The following is a 19,029-nucleotide window of genomic DNA, read 5'->3' on the forward strand; positions in this document are numbered from 1 at the left end:
CTCAAGCAGAAGAACTGCTTGAGACCAAGAGTTCAAGACCAGCCTGGGCAAGATAGTGAGACCCCATCTCTACAAAAAATTGAAAAATCAGCTTGGTGTAGTGGTGCATGCCTGTGGTCCCAGCTACTCAGGAGGCAGGAGGATCACTTGAGCCCAGGAGTTTGAGGATGTAGTTAGCTATGACTACGCCACTGCAATCCAGCCTGGGCAATAGAGCAAGACCTTGTCTCTAAAAAAATAATAAAAATAATTTTTTAAAAACTTGTTTTAATGTTCTTGTCTGCTAACTCTAACATCTGTGTCAATTCTGAGTCAGTTTCAATAGGTTGATTTTTTTTTCTCATGAGTATAACTTTTCTGCTTCCTTCTATATCTGGTAATTTTTTATTAGATACCAGATATTGTTAATTTTATTTTGGGGGTGCTAGATATTTTTGTGTCCCTATAAATATTCTTGCTTTTTGTTCTGAGATTCAGTTAAGATTCTTGGAAACATTTTGATAACTTTAGGCCTTGTTTTTAAGATTCTTTAGTTAGGACTCAGCTTAGGGTTTAACCTAAAGTCAATTTTTCCCCACTTCTGAAGCAAAACCCTTGTTCTACTCTACTGAATGCCCTATGAATTACTCTATGAATGTACTCTACTGAATGGCCTATGAATTATGGAGCTTTCCTCTCTGGTGGGAGCAGGCAATATTCCCAGCCCTGTGCAAGCTCCAGAGATTGTTTCCTTTAGTCTTTTTGAGTGGTTCTTTCCCCAGCCTTGGGTAGTTTGTTCACATGCATTTGCTGGTCAGCACTCTCTTGAATATCAACCAGAGAGGAAGCCTCTGTAGATCTCCAGAGCTCTTTCTGTATAGCTATCTGTCCTGGTACTATGTCCTGCAGACTCCAGCTGCCTTAGCCTACCCAGACACTCGGCCCCATCTTCCCAACTCAGGAGTTTGCCAAGTTTTAATTGATCTCTTCTGTTTAAACCCTAGAAACTCTCGCCAGGCAGTAAGCTGAGGCAATCATGGTACTCGCTTGTTGGTTTCTCATCACTCAGAGGGCACTGTACTTCAGGACCTGAAGTCCCATGTCTTGAGGACCACTGTTGCATGTATTTTATCTGTTTTATGGCTTGTTTCACACAGGAGAATAAATTGGTCCCTATCCTACTTGCTCAAAGCTGAAGTCAGAATTATCTTTTCACAACAAAAATCTGATAATGTAAATCCCCTGCTTAAAACACTTCATTGAATTCCCATCATTAAAATAAATTCCAAGCTCTTTACATTGATTTAGAAATTGACTTCATAATTTAAATCTTGTCTACTTTGCTAGCTAATCTTGTGACTTGTTTACAATAACTATGATTCAAAATAAAATAGCTGCAGTTTCAAATATACAAAATATTCTTTCATTACACTTGCACATGCTGTTTCCTGTCTAGAACTCTCTTTTCTGCCCTGGCTACTGAGAAAGTCTTATTCATTCATGAGTGATCAACACAAATGTAATGTCTGTGAAGCTTTCCTTACATGACACACTTCCAGCTACCTTCTCCCTCTCTCCTGACTCCAACCCCAAGAAGAGTTAGGCAGCCCTCCTCAACGCGCAAAGGAGCCATCTATTATCCAATCTCCTGTTACAGTGCCCATTACTTTGTACCACAGCTATTTATGTAAATATCTATTTCCCCACCTTGGACAAGCTCCTCAGATATGTTTCCTCATTTGTAAACTGGGGATAATACAGGGTGTCAAAAAGTTGGGGTGCACAGGATAAATATATCTTAACTGGGATGATACTTGCATTTTCAACCAATATGCTCAATTTGGTTTCCTTCAACGTCCGGATATCTTTTTTAGGTAGCATACCTTATAAGAAATTGGATTCAATTGCTAATTTGAATAACATATTATTTAATAAAAACACTACAGAGAAAATCCTAAAACATGAAAGACCTCAGTGCCTTCAGAAAGGGAGAAGATTAGAGATTACAGGAGAGAGCTGACAAGATGAAGATGAAGAAAAAACAGGGAGCTTTAGAGACTTTGTAAAGGATTTTATGATGTAACATAAATGCAACAATGTTACACACGCATAACCAAAATGCATGTGAAAAGTAACTTTTTTTTTTTTTTTTTTTTTTTTGAAACGGAGTTTTGCTCTTGTTGCCCAGGCTGGAGTGCAATGGCGCAATCTCGGCCCACTGCAACCTCCGCCTCCTGGGTTCAAGTGATTCTCCTGCCTCAGCCTCCCGAGTAGCTGGGATTACAGGCATGCGCCACCACACCTGGCTAATTTTGTATTTTTAGTAGAGACGGGGTTTCTCCATGTTGGTCAGGCTGGCCTCAAACTCCCAACCTCAGGTGATCCCCCCGCCTCGGCCTCCCAAAGTGCTGGAATCACAGGCATGAGCCACTGCGCCCAGCCATGAAAAGTAACTTTAAAGGGAGAAAATATATTAGAGGTTAGCAATAATTCAAATGTTGATTACGAAGATACTTCATTATATGGTGCCATATTTTCAATTGAAAATATAGTGAATATAAAGGAAAAATTAAAGTCTCTACCACCCTGTACTAGGGATGGCAACAGAAAGGAACAATTTTTGATCGGGCGCCATGGCCAAATAATAACCCACAAGTCTCCAATTAATTGCTATGTCCAGTGATGCCTTAAGTGATGCAGGTACTAACATCTTTGGAATGAACTTTGAATCAATTAATTGTATTGGTATTTAAAATAAAATACATCATTAAAAAATGTCTCATACGTCAGAGCAAACAGCAGAAGGTGAGGCATAATTTTTAAAAACAACATTTCAGGGGGGTCTTTTTTTCTGATATGGTCTGTTTAAGCTTTGTTTACTTTCTCAGCAAGAATAAAGACCTGGGGCAACATTTAATTAAAATGTTGCCTAAGCTTTCATGCTTCCTGAGGCAGTAAGACTGGGGACACTGCTATAGTCTTCTTGCTGTGGACTAGGAAATAAACAAGGATGGATAACTTTGAACTCTCTGCATAATATGTAGAGCAAAGCCATATCCCTGGAAAGGCCAAAATTAGGTGAGATGCAGTACATAACAGGTATGGAATATACTAATGCTTTGGATTGGGAGCAAAAAAAACTGGAAAGGCCTTAGTCACATGTACTTTCTATTATCTCAAATATTATTTTTATAATTTCAACTTTTATTTTAGAGTCAAGGGGTACATACACAGGTTTACTGCATGGGCATTTTGCATGATGCTCTGTTATCTCAATTATAAACCACTAATTTCTAAGATCCAATAACCTGGCTGGGCATGGTGGCTCACACCTGTAATCCCAGCACTTTGGGAGGCCAAGGCAGGAGGATTACTTGAGCTCAGGAGTTCAAGACCAGCCTGGACAACATACTGAGGCCAAGTCTCTCTAAAAAATAAAATTTGAAAATGGAAAAAAAAAAATGATGCAATAATCTGCAGGAATGAAGAATAGTAACAATGATATAAACTACTATTCACATGAACAGCTTGATGTTTCATTTAGGCTGGGCCAGTCCTAACTCCTAGCAGTAGGTAAAGTTGATGGACAGTAAATCAAAAAATGCTTCGAAACTATGAGTTAAAATTAAAAAGAAATGAAGATTTGGTTTGGTAGTGCTTCATTTTCTTTGATTTTTAAAAGCAGACAATAACAAATGTTCCCAGAGACTATCATAGAATTTCCTTGGCTCAATAACTAGAAATAATTATAGGTCCCAGGATGGAAGAGTAGAAGGACCGCACCCTGATTTTGGGACAGTGAAAAGGTGAGATTGGACCCTGCACAAGGCATACAACTATACTAAGGCTCAGTTTGCCATGGGTAAAATGGGATGTTGTCAAAGTTAAACTAGACACCTCAAAAGTAGGCATTTTTGTTTTTATTTTTGAGACAGGGTCTTACTCACATCGCCCAGGCTGGAGTGCAATGGTGCAATCTTGGCTCACTGCAGTATTGATCTTCCAGGGTCAGGTGATCCTGATACTTAGCGTCCCAAGTAGCTGGGACTACAGGTGCACACTACAATGTCCAGCTAATTTTTGGTTAGTAAAGATGGGATTTCGTCATGTTGCCCAGGCCGGTCTCGAACTCCTGGGCTCAAGCGATCTGCCGGCCTCCCAAAGTGCTGTGATTACAGGAATAAGCCACTGCACCCAGCCTAAGAATAAGTATTTATTAAAATGAAAGCAATGATGGGGGTGATCCAATGGGCTCTGTAAGATTATTTTAGCAGCAGTATGAGTGATAGCCACAAAACAGGACATTTGAGAGGCAGGGATTCCATTCAGAAACAAAGACATTTAAATTTTTAGAATAGGCTATTTTTTTTTTGAAGTCCTACCCTTTAAAAAATATGTATTATATATATATTATATATGTATAATATATAAATATATAACATAATACATAGGTATAATATAAAAATATTATATAATACATATGTATAGTATATGAATATTATATAATACATATGTATAATATATGTATAATATATAAATATGATGTAATACATATGTATAGTATATAAATATATTCTATTCATATATATATACATTTTTTTCTTTTTTTGATATGGTCTTACTCTGTCACCCAGGCAGGAGTGCAGTGGCAGGATCACGGCTCACTGCTGCCTCAACCTCCTAGCCTCAAGAGATCTTCCACCTCAGCCTCCCAAGTAGCTGGAACTACAGGTGCGTGCCACCGCGCCTAATTTTTTGTTGTTGTTTTTTAGAGATGGGGGTCTTACTATGTTGCCCAGGCTGATCTTGAACTCCTGGGCTCAAGTGATACTCCTGCTTCCACCTCCCAAAGAGTAAATTATCATTTAAACTTTTTTGTTAAACTAGTATGCTTAAGAATGAAATTTAAACAGAGGTATTACCCAACTGGTTGACAAATTAATACATTTGTCTTTTATATTTCCTTCTGGAAAAAAAAAGAGCATTAAAGAAAAATGACATCAATGTAAACTAGCAGTAGTTAACAGCAAGACATTTTTACGTAATTTTGAAAGTAGTTGCCATACCTCCTTCCTCAAAATATAAAGACAATTTTGTGGATTATGTTTTCTGTCAAAAGAAATTTCATAATCTAGGAAAAAGTTTACAGCTAGTGCATTTGTTTTTTAAGATACCTAAAACTGTCCTGAGAATGTGTATCCCATTTTGAGTGAGTCATACATTAATTTTTGTAAGTCAGTCCAACACTTAGCAATCTTAAATAAATGACACATCTGTAAACATTCAGTGGTATGAAGGTCAGTGATAAAAGAGAGCTGGTCATATATTAAATTGAATTGAAAGCCTTATTTACTGTACTTCCTGATTTATGCAGTCCTATATTCATTGTACCAAAGATATGATCCTATGGGACCTAATTTTAGTGACTGGAGCAAAGCATAGTGATTATCTCTCATTTTTTATCAAATTGTAGTTTCACATGAAATCCTTCCTACAACCCACCATGAAAAACATCCTCTATACAACAGAAGAAATTTTGGGCTCCATCCTGAGGTATTTATTAACCAATCCACAGAGCGTCTTCCATATCAATGCTTTCAAAACAAAATACAATGTCTAGGATTGGTTACTTGCTTTCTCAGCAGAAGTAATTCAGATGTGGGCTCTCAGATTAGAAACTACTGTTGCTCTGTGGTAATACATTACATTTCCATCTGAAAGGTTCATGCTACTTTTTACTGTTTAGGTGGTTTTATGTCATATATATGTATGTATGTATTCTAATTTAAGGCCGGCGTGATAGCCACAGGCTAGACAATTTAAACTGATTGGCAAATTATAACATTTCACTACAATGAGCCAAAATTAGTAATAAAGATTATTCCCTTCTTAAAACTTGAGATAATTGCCTTTTTATCATATTTTTGAGACACCAAAGTTCCTTTCTTCTTTGATTTATCTTAGGCCTCAAGTCTTGTCTTTTGCCTGGCCAATATCTGTTGTATTCCTGACAGCTCAGCCTCCTCTAACTTCTGAGAAGTTCTCGCTACCTCTGGATAACAGAGCGACCGTGTCTGGACAGATTACTAGCTGCGAATCTGCCCAACACTGAAACTGACTTCATGCTGCAAGATCACTGGTGTCTTTTTGCTCTCATTCTTGCGCTGGGTCCTGGGCCGTGACTTCCAAGCTCCACAGGACCAATTCTGCTTTGTTGAGGAAAGCACCTTCTACTGCCTAAGAGATGTGGATTCCACTGTTTACTTAAGCCCTTTTCTACTGGAAACAGAAAGGAGATCTGCTTAGAAAGATCAGTAATACTGAAACTAGGAGGCCATGGAGTGTTTCCCACTTGTCCACTCTGAGACCGTGGCTACAATATTCATCCACTCTGAGCTTCAGTTTTATCACATAAAAATGGAAATAATATCATACAGAGCCCATAGGGTTGCTCAATGGATTCAGTGAAGTAACACATGTAAAGAATTTACCACACTGCTCAACACATGGTAAAAGGTGTTTTATTACCACCACCAAGAAAATTACTTTTCAAGAGCAGTGTTAAAAAGCAACACAATGATTCTTTATGATATCTTCACTCTAAATCATGTAAAAGCTTATTTAAGATCCACTCTGAAACGTAAAGCTCAAAGGGAAAAAGAAGGTGGAGGGAATGTCAGAGGCAAGCCCTGGGCTAAAGACAGGAGATGAGAGGAGAACTAGTCCCTTTATACCCTGATGGAAAGACAGTATACCCATAGCAGAAGGCTGACAGAAAAATAACAGCAGGAAGACAGAGAGAGCGAGCGAATAATATAAAGAACAACAAGAATCTGTTAAGCAAAATACAATAGGAAGCCATTTTAATTCATTCTCCCTTTCCAGTTCTTTTCTTTTTGGAACCTGTTCTACCATTAACCAAGGCAACCAAGTACTTACCCAGCCCCTCCTTTAGAGATGAAAACATCTCTCAGTTATCTGTCAGCCTTTTCAACATCACATGTCATGGGCTGGGTGGGGCCGGGAGGTGGGGCGGGGCTTCAATAAAACCTAATGTGTCGTCCCGGGGTTGGGTTTCCATGTTAATTTTATCCTTCCAATTATTAGAAAGAATGTAAAGCTAGCATTCACCACCAAAGACTGTCATACATATTATTACAACTAGGAATAACACTACCAAGGCCCACTCTCTTTCTCTAATTCTCCCATCCCTGCTCCTCTCTCCCTCACACACACAGAGCCAGAGATGCCACTATCTCCTCAGCCATTTCAAGCTTTCCTTTTAATCAGCACGGTAAACAAGCTTCTATGCCTCAGGCTGGCGTTCCACAAACTCAGCCAAATCGTGGGGTTTTGTGAATGCTGCAGTCAGCAGGGCCCAAGAAGGCATATTTGCTCACACATTATGTCGATGTTTTGTTGGTTTTTTTTTTTTTTTTTTTGGTCCTAAGGATACTCCTTGGACTGTGGGTATGATCAACAAGAGATGTCATTTATCTTACAAAGACTCTAATTCCATTGGATTTTGATTAGCAGTGGTAACCAGGTGAACTGAATAATTACTGTTACTAACCATAATATTCTTTACATCTTACTGCACAATGTAACATCAAAATCCTAGTGAGGGAAAAGTTAAAGTGTCAAACATTCAAAGTCATAAGCCCTCAGTGCTCCAGTTCTGAGAATATCTGTAAAGGATCTCCCTTCTGGGGAAAAACTAAGAATAGCATTTTCCAAACAAAAGGAAATAAAACGACTCTAAATTCACCAGATCATAATTATTGACACAAAATTATAAAGTATAATACCTTGTGTTCAGTAAAAATTCTAGATAATTATTCCACCGCACAGGATTAGGCCATTTATTCAAGAGGTTCTCATTTGATAAATTTAGGAACTCTTACCAATCCATCCCTTTTCCCCGAGAGTAGGTGTAAACATGTAAAAATATTCCTTAAATACCAATTCTGAGCTCAACCTGCGCTAGGCACAGCAGACACAATAGCCAAGAATTTGAACTTTGTTACTAGACTCAGGTTTCTAATTTAATCAGGAGCCTCCTGAGTGTTTGAGACTAGGTAATGTTTTCCTCAGACACGGAGGGATTAATTTTGCAACACTGGGAGAAGGAGGTACCGGAGAAGTCTAACAAAAAATGTCCATGGTAGTTTCTGCCAAGCCAAGGTGCTTTTATTCTCTCTGTGAGGTACCCGAAGCAACCCCAGAGCCAGGCTCTCAGTGTGTGTCAGTCAGTAGAATGAAAAACTAGACTCAGGCAAGGCCTGAGAATCTACCTCATGTGAACATGAATTATCATGCATGACCTTCAAGGCCAAGAAATATTCTATCCTCAAAATCCTGAGGTAAGTAAAGAAACAAATAAGTCATCCTTAAACCCCAGTTTATAGATGCCAGAAAAGGAAGGAGATTGTGCCAAAAATAATCTCGGAAGTGGTTGTATGTGTATCAATTGTGGAGGTACGTTTGCTTACAGTATCTCCAGTGCTTCCTTCTGCACATCACAGATTTGCTATTGATCAGCTGTGGTCAGATATTGTAAGTATAAATTAACCTGCTCCAGTGAAAAATACCCAGGGGAGCTATTACACTCTGAAGAAATCTTCTCTTTAGGTTTAACTGTACTTACAAGTACAATTCAATAGGAGGATGCGGGATGGTTAGCTCCAATTTCACCAACCACTTTTTTTTTTCCAGTCCCTGATTAAAAGATTCTGCAGTTTATGACCAGCAAAAGGCTTTGCCTTGGTACCACTTCAAGACTGAAGGAATGATACAAGAAAGAGAATTTATCATCGGCAGGGGGCAATCAGCTGTCCAGAGGTGCACTCTTTATCTAAAGAATCTTAAGAGTCAGGGGGCTGCTCTTTAAATGACTTTGGCAACTCCTCCAGAAGGCTTAAAAGCTGTCTCTGAAGCCTGTGGTGTGGTATCCATATTAATCCATTTGAGTGAAAATTACCAGTTCCAAGGAAAATACCCTTAGGAGATAAAGGTAGTAAGGGAAAGAAGAAAGACACAGTCAGGAGACCTGTGTCCTAGCTGAGAAAAAGATATGTCAAAAGATTTACTGAAAACAGAAGGCAGGTTTTAAAGTAAGAGTACAACTCATTAGTATAGGAAAACAGGAAAAAAGCATTATCCAAAGCACTAAAATAAAGAAAGAGTCAAACTCTATCATTTTCTAAGCTTTTAAAGGTCACATGGAGCACTATGCTAATATTTTGCAATAATGGACTCTGGGGCAGTGCTTTAATGAAATGAAATGAATTCCAAGGCTCTCTGAATCTTAATCAGACTGTGCAGGGGATGCAGGAAGGTCAGGCTGACAAGCAAATGATGCAAACTATACTTTCATATTACAATGAGTACGTTTTCCCAAAACAAGTTTAGTGTCTTCTCTATATTTAAGGTCCTAGTAACTTATCACATTGTGAAAGGTCCTTCCATGTCACTCTGTATGCCTAACAGGCCAGCAAGTGGGTCAGCTCATGGTCCATCCATAAGACATTCTAGTAAATCAATTTAAAAGTATGGTGTTAGCAGTGGACATCCTCAATTTCTTTTTTTTTTTATTTTTCAAACGGACAAAAACTGTATATATATTATGCATATTATGTATGTTTATTATGTATACATAATGTTTTACGTTTATGGTATAAAACATACCATAATGTTTATGGTATAAAACATACCATAATGTTTATGGTATAAAACATACCATAATGTTTATGGTATAAAACATACCATAATGTTTATGGTATAAAATTGCATATGTGTACATATACAAAATATACATGTATATATTGTGGAATGGATCAAGCTAATTAAAATATCTATGCCTCACTTTTTGCGGTGAAAATATTTAAAATCTACTCTTAGCAATTTTCAAGTTTATAATACATTGTTATTAACTGTAGTCAACAACTTTTTTATGGTGAAAATATTCAAAATCTACTCTTTTAGCAATTTTCAAGTTTACAATACATTGTTATTAACTGTGTCACCATGTTGTGCAATACATCTCCTGAACTTACTCCTCCTATCTAACTGTAATTTTATATCCTCAATTTCTTTTCATCATATGGCTAAAACATATGCCAAACACCCTTTTCAAGGTAAATGGGAAGGGAACCCTCAACCTATTTCAGTGCTGAGACACTCATGAAAACAGAAATACTTAACGCTTTTTTTTTTTTTTTTTTTGAGACGGAGTCTCGCCCCGTTGCCCAGGCTGAAGTGCAGTGGCACAATCTCGGCTCACTGCAACCTCCACCTCCCGAGTTCAAGCAATTCTCCTGCCTCAGCCTCCGGAGTAGCTGGGATTACAGGCGCACACCACCACCTGACTAATTTTTATATTTTTAGTAGAGACAGGGTTTCACCATGTTGGTCAGGCTGGTCTCGAACTCCTGACCTCGTGATCTGCCCTCCTTGGCCCCCCGCAAAGGGCTGGGATTACAGGCCTGAGCCACCACGCCTGGCCTACACTTCTTTTTCATGTGAAATTCAATAGTCTACGTAGCCAGAAAAGCTCCAAATAGGTAAGCAGTGATGTTTTATCTCAAAATAGGTTTCTTCTCTACCCTTGCAGTTTTTCTCCATCCAACTAAATCTTACCCATTCCTCAAGACTCAATTTCAGTTTTAAATTCAACAACCCACCACAAGAAGTTCGAGCAAATTACAGCATATCAACATGACCAGAATATTAAACTTGAAAATATCATATATGAATCATAACGAAGAACGGAAATTTTCATAAAGAAATCCATTTTAAAGTCAGAACAAAAAAAGTTCAAAATGATTGTAATTATATAAAAAAGTTGTACATTGACATTCACAAGTGAATGAATAATGACATAAATAGAGCACAATGTTGGAGTTATTAATTTCCCACAAAGTTAAAGACTTTTCCTAGTATTAGTAACTTTCTGTATATCATAAAGTAACTGGTGTTTCCTACTCAAATTCAACTGAAAAGTATGAAGTCATTACGGTTTATTTTGCTACATGATGGATGCTGTACTGAAGTTTTATATGTATTCTTTCATTTTATCCCCAAGTGATTCTATGGAGTAAATAAATACTATTACTTGACACCGTTTTGCAGATAAAAAAGCCCAGGCCTACTTAAGTTACATAACTTGTCAACGGTGACATTGTGACAGAAGTAGGAATTTAGTCCCACCATACCCTGGTCATTAGAACACACTACCTCATACCTCAAGGTGAAGCCCACTGGTGCTTGAGAGTGGCCACTGCTTTGGTTTCCCAGATTGTTAAGATGACAAACGGCTCAGTTCCGTTTCAATATTGCAGTACTGGTCTGATGGCTGGATTCTACTGTCATAGGATTTTCAACTGTATTTTATTCCTTTACAAATTCCCAGATAGAGCAGGAGGGCAGGTAAAGAAGACATATTACCCTCCAAAAAAGAAAAATAAAAAACTTGAGCATCGAGACACTCAATATTTACGCTACCCCTTCAGTGCTATACATCCTAACACAGCTTAAAGTTTTTATTTTACTCACAAGTCCTGCTGCTTTGGTAATTCACGAAAGGGTTGTGCGCCTGACCTCTAATGATAATTCGTCATATATCCTCATGCTTTCTTATTGGAGCTGTGAAACAATGAATTAGCAACAAATCCTCCACTCTTTGCCCCTTCAGCCCTTGGAGTTTAACTCCTCTCACATTACAGTATTTATTGAATTTCCCAGCCAAACGGTGTTGTGCTCCATAAAATTCTGACAAGTGGACTCTGCCAAGCTAATAATGGCTTCATTCTGCTGAAATAAACTTATTTCACTGTGGCAAACAAAACGACATGACCTGGAAAGGTTATTTTTAACTGGGTAATGACTCAGTCCCAACCAAGCTTTTCTCTCAAGGTTCCCAGTTTTAAATAAATTTCATTTCTTAAACGTAAATGCATGCTATTACGTGTGTTCTTGTCTGTCAATCTTTCACAATGAAGTAAAGGCAGATATTTTCATTGCTTAAGGTGTATGATTCTCTTTATTCAATAACTTGGTCGGCTTATCAAACTATTCCCAAGGATCCTGGCATAGAGAAGCCACCCAGAGAACCTGAAAGACAAGGCTACATAAAGAAGCAAAATCCTTTTAAACAGAATCTGGTTTTATTGCATTTTTCTTTTAATTAAACAGCGTCAGAACCTTTCCAATTCGGCAAAACTTTTAAGAGTGTGCCTCTGAGAAAGAGCTCTTATCTCATGTTTTTAAAGCGTGAATAAATTTTGCTAAGTTTGCTTAGCCTGCTTACCAAATAAAGATATGCCAGGACAAATTTCTCTACATCCACATTAGTTAACATCCCCCCTGTATCTTAAACTCTCCATACCAAAAATGTCTGCTACTAAAAAGTTTGAAAAGCAGAAACACGCGTTTTTCTCTATACTGCCTCCATATCTTACAGTTATCATTTACATCTTTTTATCTTGCACTGCGAGCCCCTCAAAAACAAACAAATGAACAAACAGAAACAACTTCCATGATAAGGTCAAATTTTCTTCAAGTTTCAAATGATCAGGGACTCCGAGAGCACCATTACAACAGCTGGGATCTTGTACCAACATGCTGCACCCTGCCAGTCCTGCCTTCTGAGACTAATAAAAGAGAAAACCCTTGACAGCTAACAGCTGGGCTCCTTATGAAGCTGTTCAATAGAAACAACAAGGCCTCCCACAGCCCACCAAAAATCAGGACTTGGTGTATAGACACAAATATGTACAAGAAAAGAAATTTGGTAAGAGGGAACACATATTTAAAAGAGACTGAAACAAGGAGATGATGAAGAATAACAGGGGAAAAAAACACTAATCAATGAAAGAGAAACCCAGTCATACCGGCATAACTATTGAAGATGTTAAGAGTTAGTGCAAAAGGAATTACCCATGGTTTTAATCTGGCTGGAGTAGGGGACTTGTATTACATATGATTAGCTACAAAGGCAAAAGAACAAGAACCTTTTCAGTAAATTCACATAGTCATGGTTCTGTCCAAACCACAATACAAAATCCTGAATATCCTTTTGATGACCTATAGTGTGTATTCACACTTGCAGTAAAAGAAACTAATGTGAATCGCCTTACTATTGCTTCCTGCCAGCCCCTCTGCCTCCATATTAAAGACCATCAGCTAGGCTGTGGCTACCAGCTACAACTCCTCAGTCAAAGCCATGTCACAGAATTACTGCCAGTCGGCTTAACAAATAAAGTACAAAAATAAAAGCACACTGAAGCCATATAAAAGTACTGTGGCTAAACAAGGAGTGGTTATGCTGGCCATTGAGTAAAAATATCTGTAATTCCTTCAAGTTCAGTAAGTTAAAGTAAAGCTTCAAACTAGGGTAGCTGAGGTTATAGTCAATATACAGATAATACAAATAGAAACTAGCAAAAGCATAAGGAACACAAAAACTCTCCTGTAATGTATTACAGATGGTTTTTAAAAGTTTCTATGGCTACTAGTAAGGAAACAAAAGCAAAATCTTTTTCCTTTATAATGTGCACTTTAGATGGCCCAACAGAATCACTTCCAATTGCTACAGATAGATAACAAACACCAGACAGGCAGTCTGAGAAGCCGCTTAATTTGTTGTGTGTGTGTGTGTGTGTGTGTGTGTGTGTGTGTGTACCTCATACACATTGTTCACCGCTAGTGGCAATTCAGATACTGACCCAGAATATGAACAAGGTAGGGTGGGAGGGATTCAGCATTACTATGGAAAATGGCCATGGAACCATTCATAAATTAACGACTCAGAGATAATTGAACTTGTTCCTGTGTTAACTATGAGTTTCATTTTGTTAAACAGTCAACACTGAAATTGTTTTAATCCTATAAATTCAACTAAAACAATTACTGAAGTGTGTTCAATGCCGTGGTTATTTCTATTTTTGCAGGTATTAGGCACTATGTTTTGAAATTTGTTCCAGGCAGACAAAAAAGGAAAAGTTTGGAGTTCTTTTTTTTTTTTTTTTTTTTTTTTTGAGACAGAGTCTCGCTCTGTCGCCCAGCTTGGAGTGCAGTGGCTCCATCTCAGCTCAACTGCAACCTTCGCTTCCCGGGTTCAAAAGATCTGTTCTCCCACCTCAGTCTCCTGAGTAGCTGGGATTACAGGCGCCCGCCACCACGCCCGGCTAATTTTTGTATTTTTAGTACAAACGGGGTTTCACCACGTTGGCGAGGCTGGTCTGGAACTCCTAACCTCAGGTGATCCACCCGCCTCGGCATCCTAAAGTGCTGGGATTACAGGCATGAGCCATCACACCCAGTCAAACATTTGGAGTTTTATACCTGAATCCTCAGGGAAAAAAAAGGTGGGGGGGCGGGGGGCGAGGGGTGTATTTTCATTAACAAACTGATTCCCAGAGCGTGAATCTATTTTAAGTATCTCACCTAAGGAAATGTTTATTTCAATTATGATACCTAGGTGTCTGCTGAGGAAATATAAAGCATGGTGAGAAAACTACTTTATTTATTTAGAGACAGGGTCTCACTCTGCTGCCCAGGCTGCAGTGTAGTGGCAGCTGGGACTACAGGTGCGCACCACCACGCCCAGCTAATATTTTCTTTTTTTTGTAGACAGGGTCTCACGATGTTGCCTAGTCTGGTCTCGAACTCCTGGGCTCAAGCAATCCTCCTGTCTCAGCTTCCCAAAGTGCTAGAATTACAGACATGAGCCACTACGCCTGACCTGAGAAAACTATATTAAACAGCCCAGAACTTACACATTCCTATTGCTATTGCATCCTTTTCCATAGTTACCTTGGGAAGCTAGACACTCATGCTGCTTAAGCAGATTTTTCTAGCAACACTTTCAACACACAACTTCTAGCTTTACTCAGCTTCTAGTTACTCTACTTGAGCAACAGCAATATGGAGTCAAAGCTGCTTTGAGGATTATTATTTCTCTAATATTAAAAATGGGTACTAACCCCTTAAACATCCCTCATTTCTGACGATGACAATTTGTTCCCTGCCCTTTATCTTAAAATTTTTTACCTTCTCATTTTCCCCCAGTTGACATGTATAATTTGTGCCTTTTTCTAGTCTATTAATGTCTAGGACAGGGGTGTACACAATAATCTATATTGGTTAAAAAAAAGATATTGAATAAAGCCTAGATCCATCTGGATCTTTCTCAATCCCCCTGGAAAGATATGTGAAATATCTAAAGTTGAAGAAGGTAGAGAAACGGAGCAGGAGAGAAGATTAGAGGGGAGTCATGTGGAGATGACAGGAGGGGAAGGAAGGAGAGATGGGACAGGACAGGAAGACAGGAGAGAGGTCCCTATTAGGTCTCATAACTACATCTTTGCAAGTATGTGTACTGACTCTACCCTTTATGTCATGTCTGCCCCAGCAACACAACTCATGCTGCCTCCACCCCAGTCATCTTCCAAATGAATGATGGATAATCTTGCTTACTATAATTTCAACCTCTAGAAAGGAAGCATTTTGCACCCTATCACCTTTTTTTAAAACTCATTTTAACCCTATCTACAAGTGTTATTTACATTTAAAAGGTGCTTTTTGCTAACTTTGAGAAGTAAAAGATTTGCTAACTTTGAGAAGTAAATGAATCCAGTTTAGTTACTTACTTTTGTGAAAATGTTCCATTACATCAAAATAAGGGAGAAATTTTTTTCTTAATAACAGGATGTATCGAAAACATTCTGTGCTTGATCACATCTGTTATTCTGCATTCAAAATTCATTTAGGACAACTAAATTAAGAAAGCAAAAAATGGTTATGAGTAACCATGGCCATAATGGAAAAACATAGCCAAATATTTTTGGTTCATATAAGATGATTTTTTTTTTTTTTTTTTTTTTTTTGTGTGTGTGTGTGTGAGATGGAGTTTCGCTTTTGTCGCCCAGGCAGGAGTGCAATGGCACAATCTCAGCTCACCACAACCTCCGCCTCTCAGGTTCAAGCCATTCTCCTGCCTCAGCCTCCCGAGTAGCTGGGATTACAGGCATGCACCACCACGCCTGGCTAATTTTGTATTTTTAGTAGAGACGGGGTTTCTCCATGTTGGTCAGGCTGGTCTCAAACTCCCGACCTCAGATGATCTGCCCACCTCAGCCTCCCAAAGTGCTGGGATTACAGGCATGAGCCACTGCGCCCGGCCAAGATGATATTTTTTAACTTAGCCTAAAAACGTTTCCCTTAAAATCAGCAAAGGAAAAGTTATGGAGGAAAATCAAAACAAACATCTACACTGATGACATTTCTTATCATTCGAATCAGCCATAACTGTTTTCAAGTGCAAAATCAAATTTAAAATATCAGGAAAAATAGCCCAAGTCAATCCTATTGCTTCCAACCCACTTCCGAAGAACAGAATTCATTTATCAACCAACTGTTTACTCAGGAATTGATGCAATGTGCAGTACAACTTTGGAAGTTCATGGAAATTTAATCCAGTACAGGCAAGATGTCTTACATGTTATGATGTTCTTATATCACCAATTTAATGTTTACTGGACCTTATCAATGTCACATTACTTTACATAAAAATAACTTTATCTAGCTATATATATGCATCACAGTTCACAGCTAAAACAGACACAGGACTGAGTCATTCCAATTATTATAAGAAGCAGTACTGTGAGAGGCCAGTAAGAAGCATTTGCTTAGAGGAAGCCAGTTGACTGCCTGAAGGATGACTCCAAAGGCATCACCAAAGATGCCATTTTATGGGCTCAATTAGAGTATGAGTAAAGGCACCCCGAGACACAGATTATACTTAATGCTTCTACTAATGAATTGTTTTTTCAGCATTTGGCCCAAAAGTTCTCTCTTCTCATCTGCCACATTTTGCAGCAGAAGCCACCATAGCTGATTGGCACAGAGGTGGTTGTCTGACCCAAAATGTGTCAATGAAAATGTGGGACATAAATGGAAACAGACTTCCTTCAGTAGTTGGATACATGATATGTAAAGCTCAGGAACTGTTAGTAGCCGTAATTCCCACTGACCTGCTCTGTAGAAAAATGTATGAATTGATGTACACATAGCAGTAGAATTTCAATCTATTCCTAAGGCTGCATCCCTGCCTTAAGGTTCTGTGACCCATATTAGCACTCCTGTCTTCTTTGGTGTTTGTTTTTAGCTAGTTCAAGTTTAAATTCCGTTATTGGCAATGTAAATGCCACTGGGCATTTAAGAGGTGGTTTAGAAACAGTAGAGCAATTTTTTAAACTGCTAGTACCTTATTATTGAGGGGCAAAAAAAATCAATTTAATGAGTTACAATCAGAAACATCTTTAAAAAAAACCAGAATAGCAGAGAATTAGCATCCCATATCGGGAGGGGGTGGAATTCAACCCGTGTCTCACACCATACACAAAAATAAATTCCAGGTGGATTGAAGACTTAAATGTGAAAATTAACACTATAAAACATTTAGAAAAGACTAGAGTGTATCTTTGAATCTGGAGGGTAGAAAGCAGTTCTTAAACAAGACACAAAAAGAACCATATGGAAATGACAGATAAATTCCACTATACCTTCTAATACACTATACAATACTATACAACTCACTTTCATTGTGTTTATTATTTATTTACTTGCCTTTTTCTTTTTTTTGAGACAGGGTTTCACTGGGTCACTCAGGCTGAATTGCAGTGCTGCCATCATCACTCACGGCAGCCTCAAACTCTTGGGCTCAAGCAATCCTCCCGCCTTGGCCTCCTGAATAGCTGGGACTACAGGCACGCATCACTATGCCTAATATTTTTTTTATTTTTTGTAGAGACGGGATCTCACTACGTTGCCCAGACTGGTCTCCAACCCCTGACCTGAAGTGATCCTTCTACCTCTGCCTTCCAAAGCATTAAGATTACAGGTGTGAGCCGCTGCACTTGGCCTCATTTATAAAAAAATAAATAAATTTATTATTTATTATACATTGTCTTTCTTGTCCAATAAAGTGTTAGCCTCAGGAGAGTAGGGAATCTTGTCTGTTTTTTGTTTTATTTTGTGTTTTTGAGATGGAGTCTCACTCTGTTGCCCAGGCTGTAGTGCAGTGGTGCGATCTTGGCTCACTGTAACCGCCGCCTCCCAGGTTCAAGCAATTCTCCTGCCTCAGCCTCCCGAGTAGCTGGGACTACAGGTGCCTGCATCTGTTTTATTCACAGATACATCTACAATGCTTTGTACGTACTAGATGATAAATTAATACTTGTTAAGCATGTATGAATATCTAAGCATACCTTAGTCACAAGAGAAAACATTTTTTAGTGTGGATTGAGGTTAAAAGGTTGCAAAATATTACATTAGATACATACAATTTGTATATTTGCTTAGTATGTAGGGAAAGGAAAAAAAAAAGGGGGTAGTGACAAAACAGAAATGTTGTACTTTATTCTATAGACCTATGCTATCCAAAGCTATTTAAATTAATTTAAAATTAAAAGTAAAAATTCGGTCCCTCAGTCTCACTATCCACATTTAAAGTACTCAACCGCCACGTGTGGTTACTAGCTCTATACTGGACAAAACAGAAGATACAGAACGCTTTTGTTATTGAGGAAAGTGATAGTAGGCAGTGCTGCTATAGCCAATAAAGACTCACACCATATTTGAAGCTGGTGAATATCAAGATTACATCAGGATTTTTAAGGCAACTGGCTTCTATGGAGAGAGTGAACTAAAGGCAGAAGAAAGTAGAATCCTCAAAGAGGCCAATTACATGGAAATTAAAATGGTAAACATGAGAAACAGTGACAAAGGATGTAGAAAGAATACAATGCAGAGGAGAAGACAATTTTTTTTTTCCTTTTTCTTTTTCTTTTTGAGACAGAGTCTCGCTCTGTTGCCCAGGCTGGAGTGCAGTGGCGTGATCTCCGCTCACTGCAAACTCCGCCTCCCAGGTTCAAGTGATTCTCCTGCCTTAGCCTCCTGAGTAGCTGGGATTACAGGCGCACACCATCACACCCAGCTAATTTTTGTATTTTTAGTAGAGACATGGTTTCACCATGTTGGTCAGGCTGG

At 38.5% G+C, this 19,029-nt stretch overlaps 1 protein-coding gene across 52 annotated transcripts in view; it reads right to left on the minus strand.

Moving 5' to 3' along the window:
• PTPRD (protein tyrosine phosphatase receptor type D) overlaps positions 1–19,029 on the minus strand; it is a 2,298,757-nt gene that overhangs the window by 458,167 nt on the left and 1,821,561 nt on the right. Inside the window, exon 1 of one of the 52 annotated variants that reach the window (NM_130391.4) lies at positions 6,919–6,979. The exons of the other annotated variants lie outside the window; for them this stretch is intronic. The gene's annotated coding sequence lies outside the window, so the exon portion shown is untranslated. Of the gene's footprint in view, positions 1–6,918; positions 6,980–19,029 lie in introns of those variants that run through there. 52 annotated transcript variants of the gene reach the window in all.

This window comes from Homo sapiens, chromosome 9 (assembly GCF_000001405.40).
Source record: "Homo sapiens chromosome 9, GRCh38.p14 Primary Assembly".
NCBI classification, from domain to species: Eukaryota; Metazoa; Chordata; class Mammalia; order Primates; family Hominidae; genus Homo; species Homo sapiens.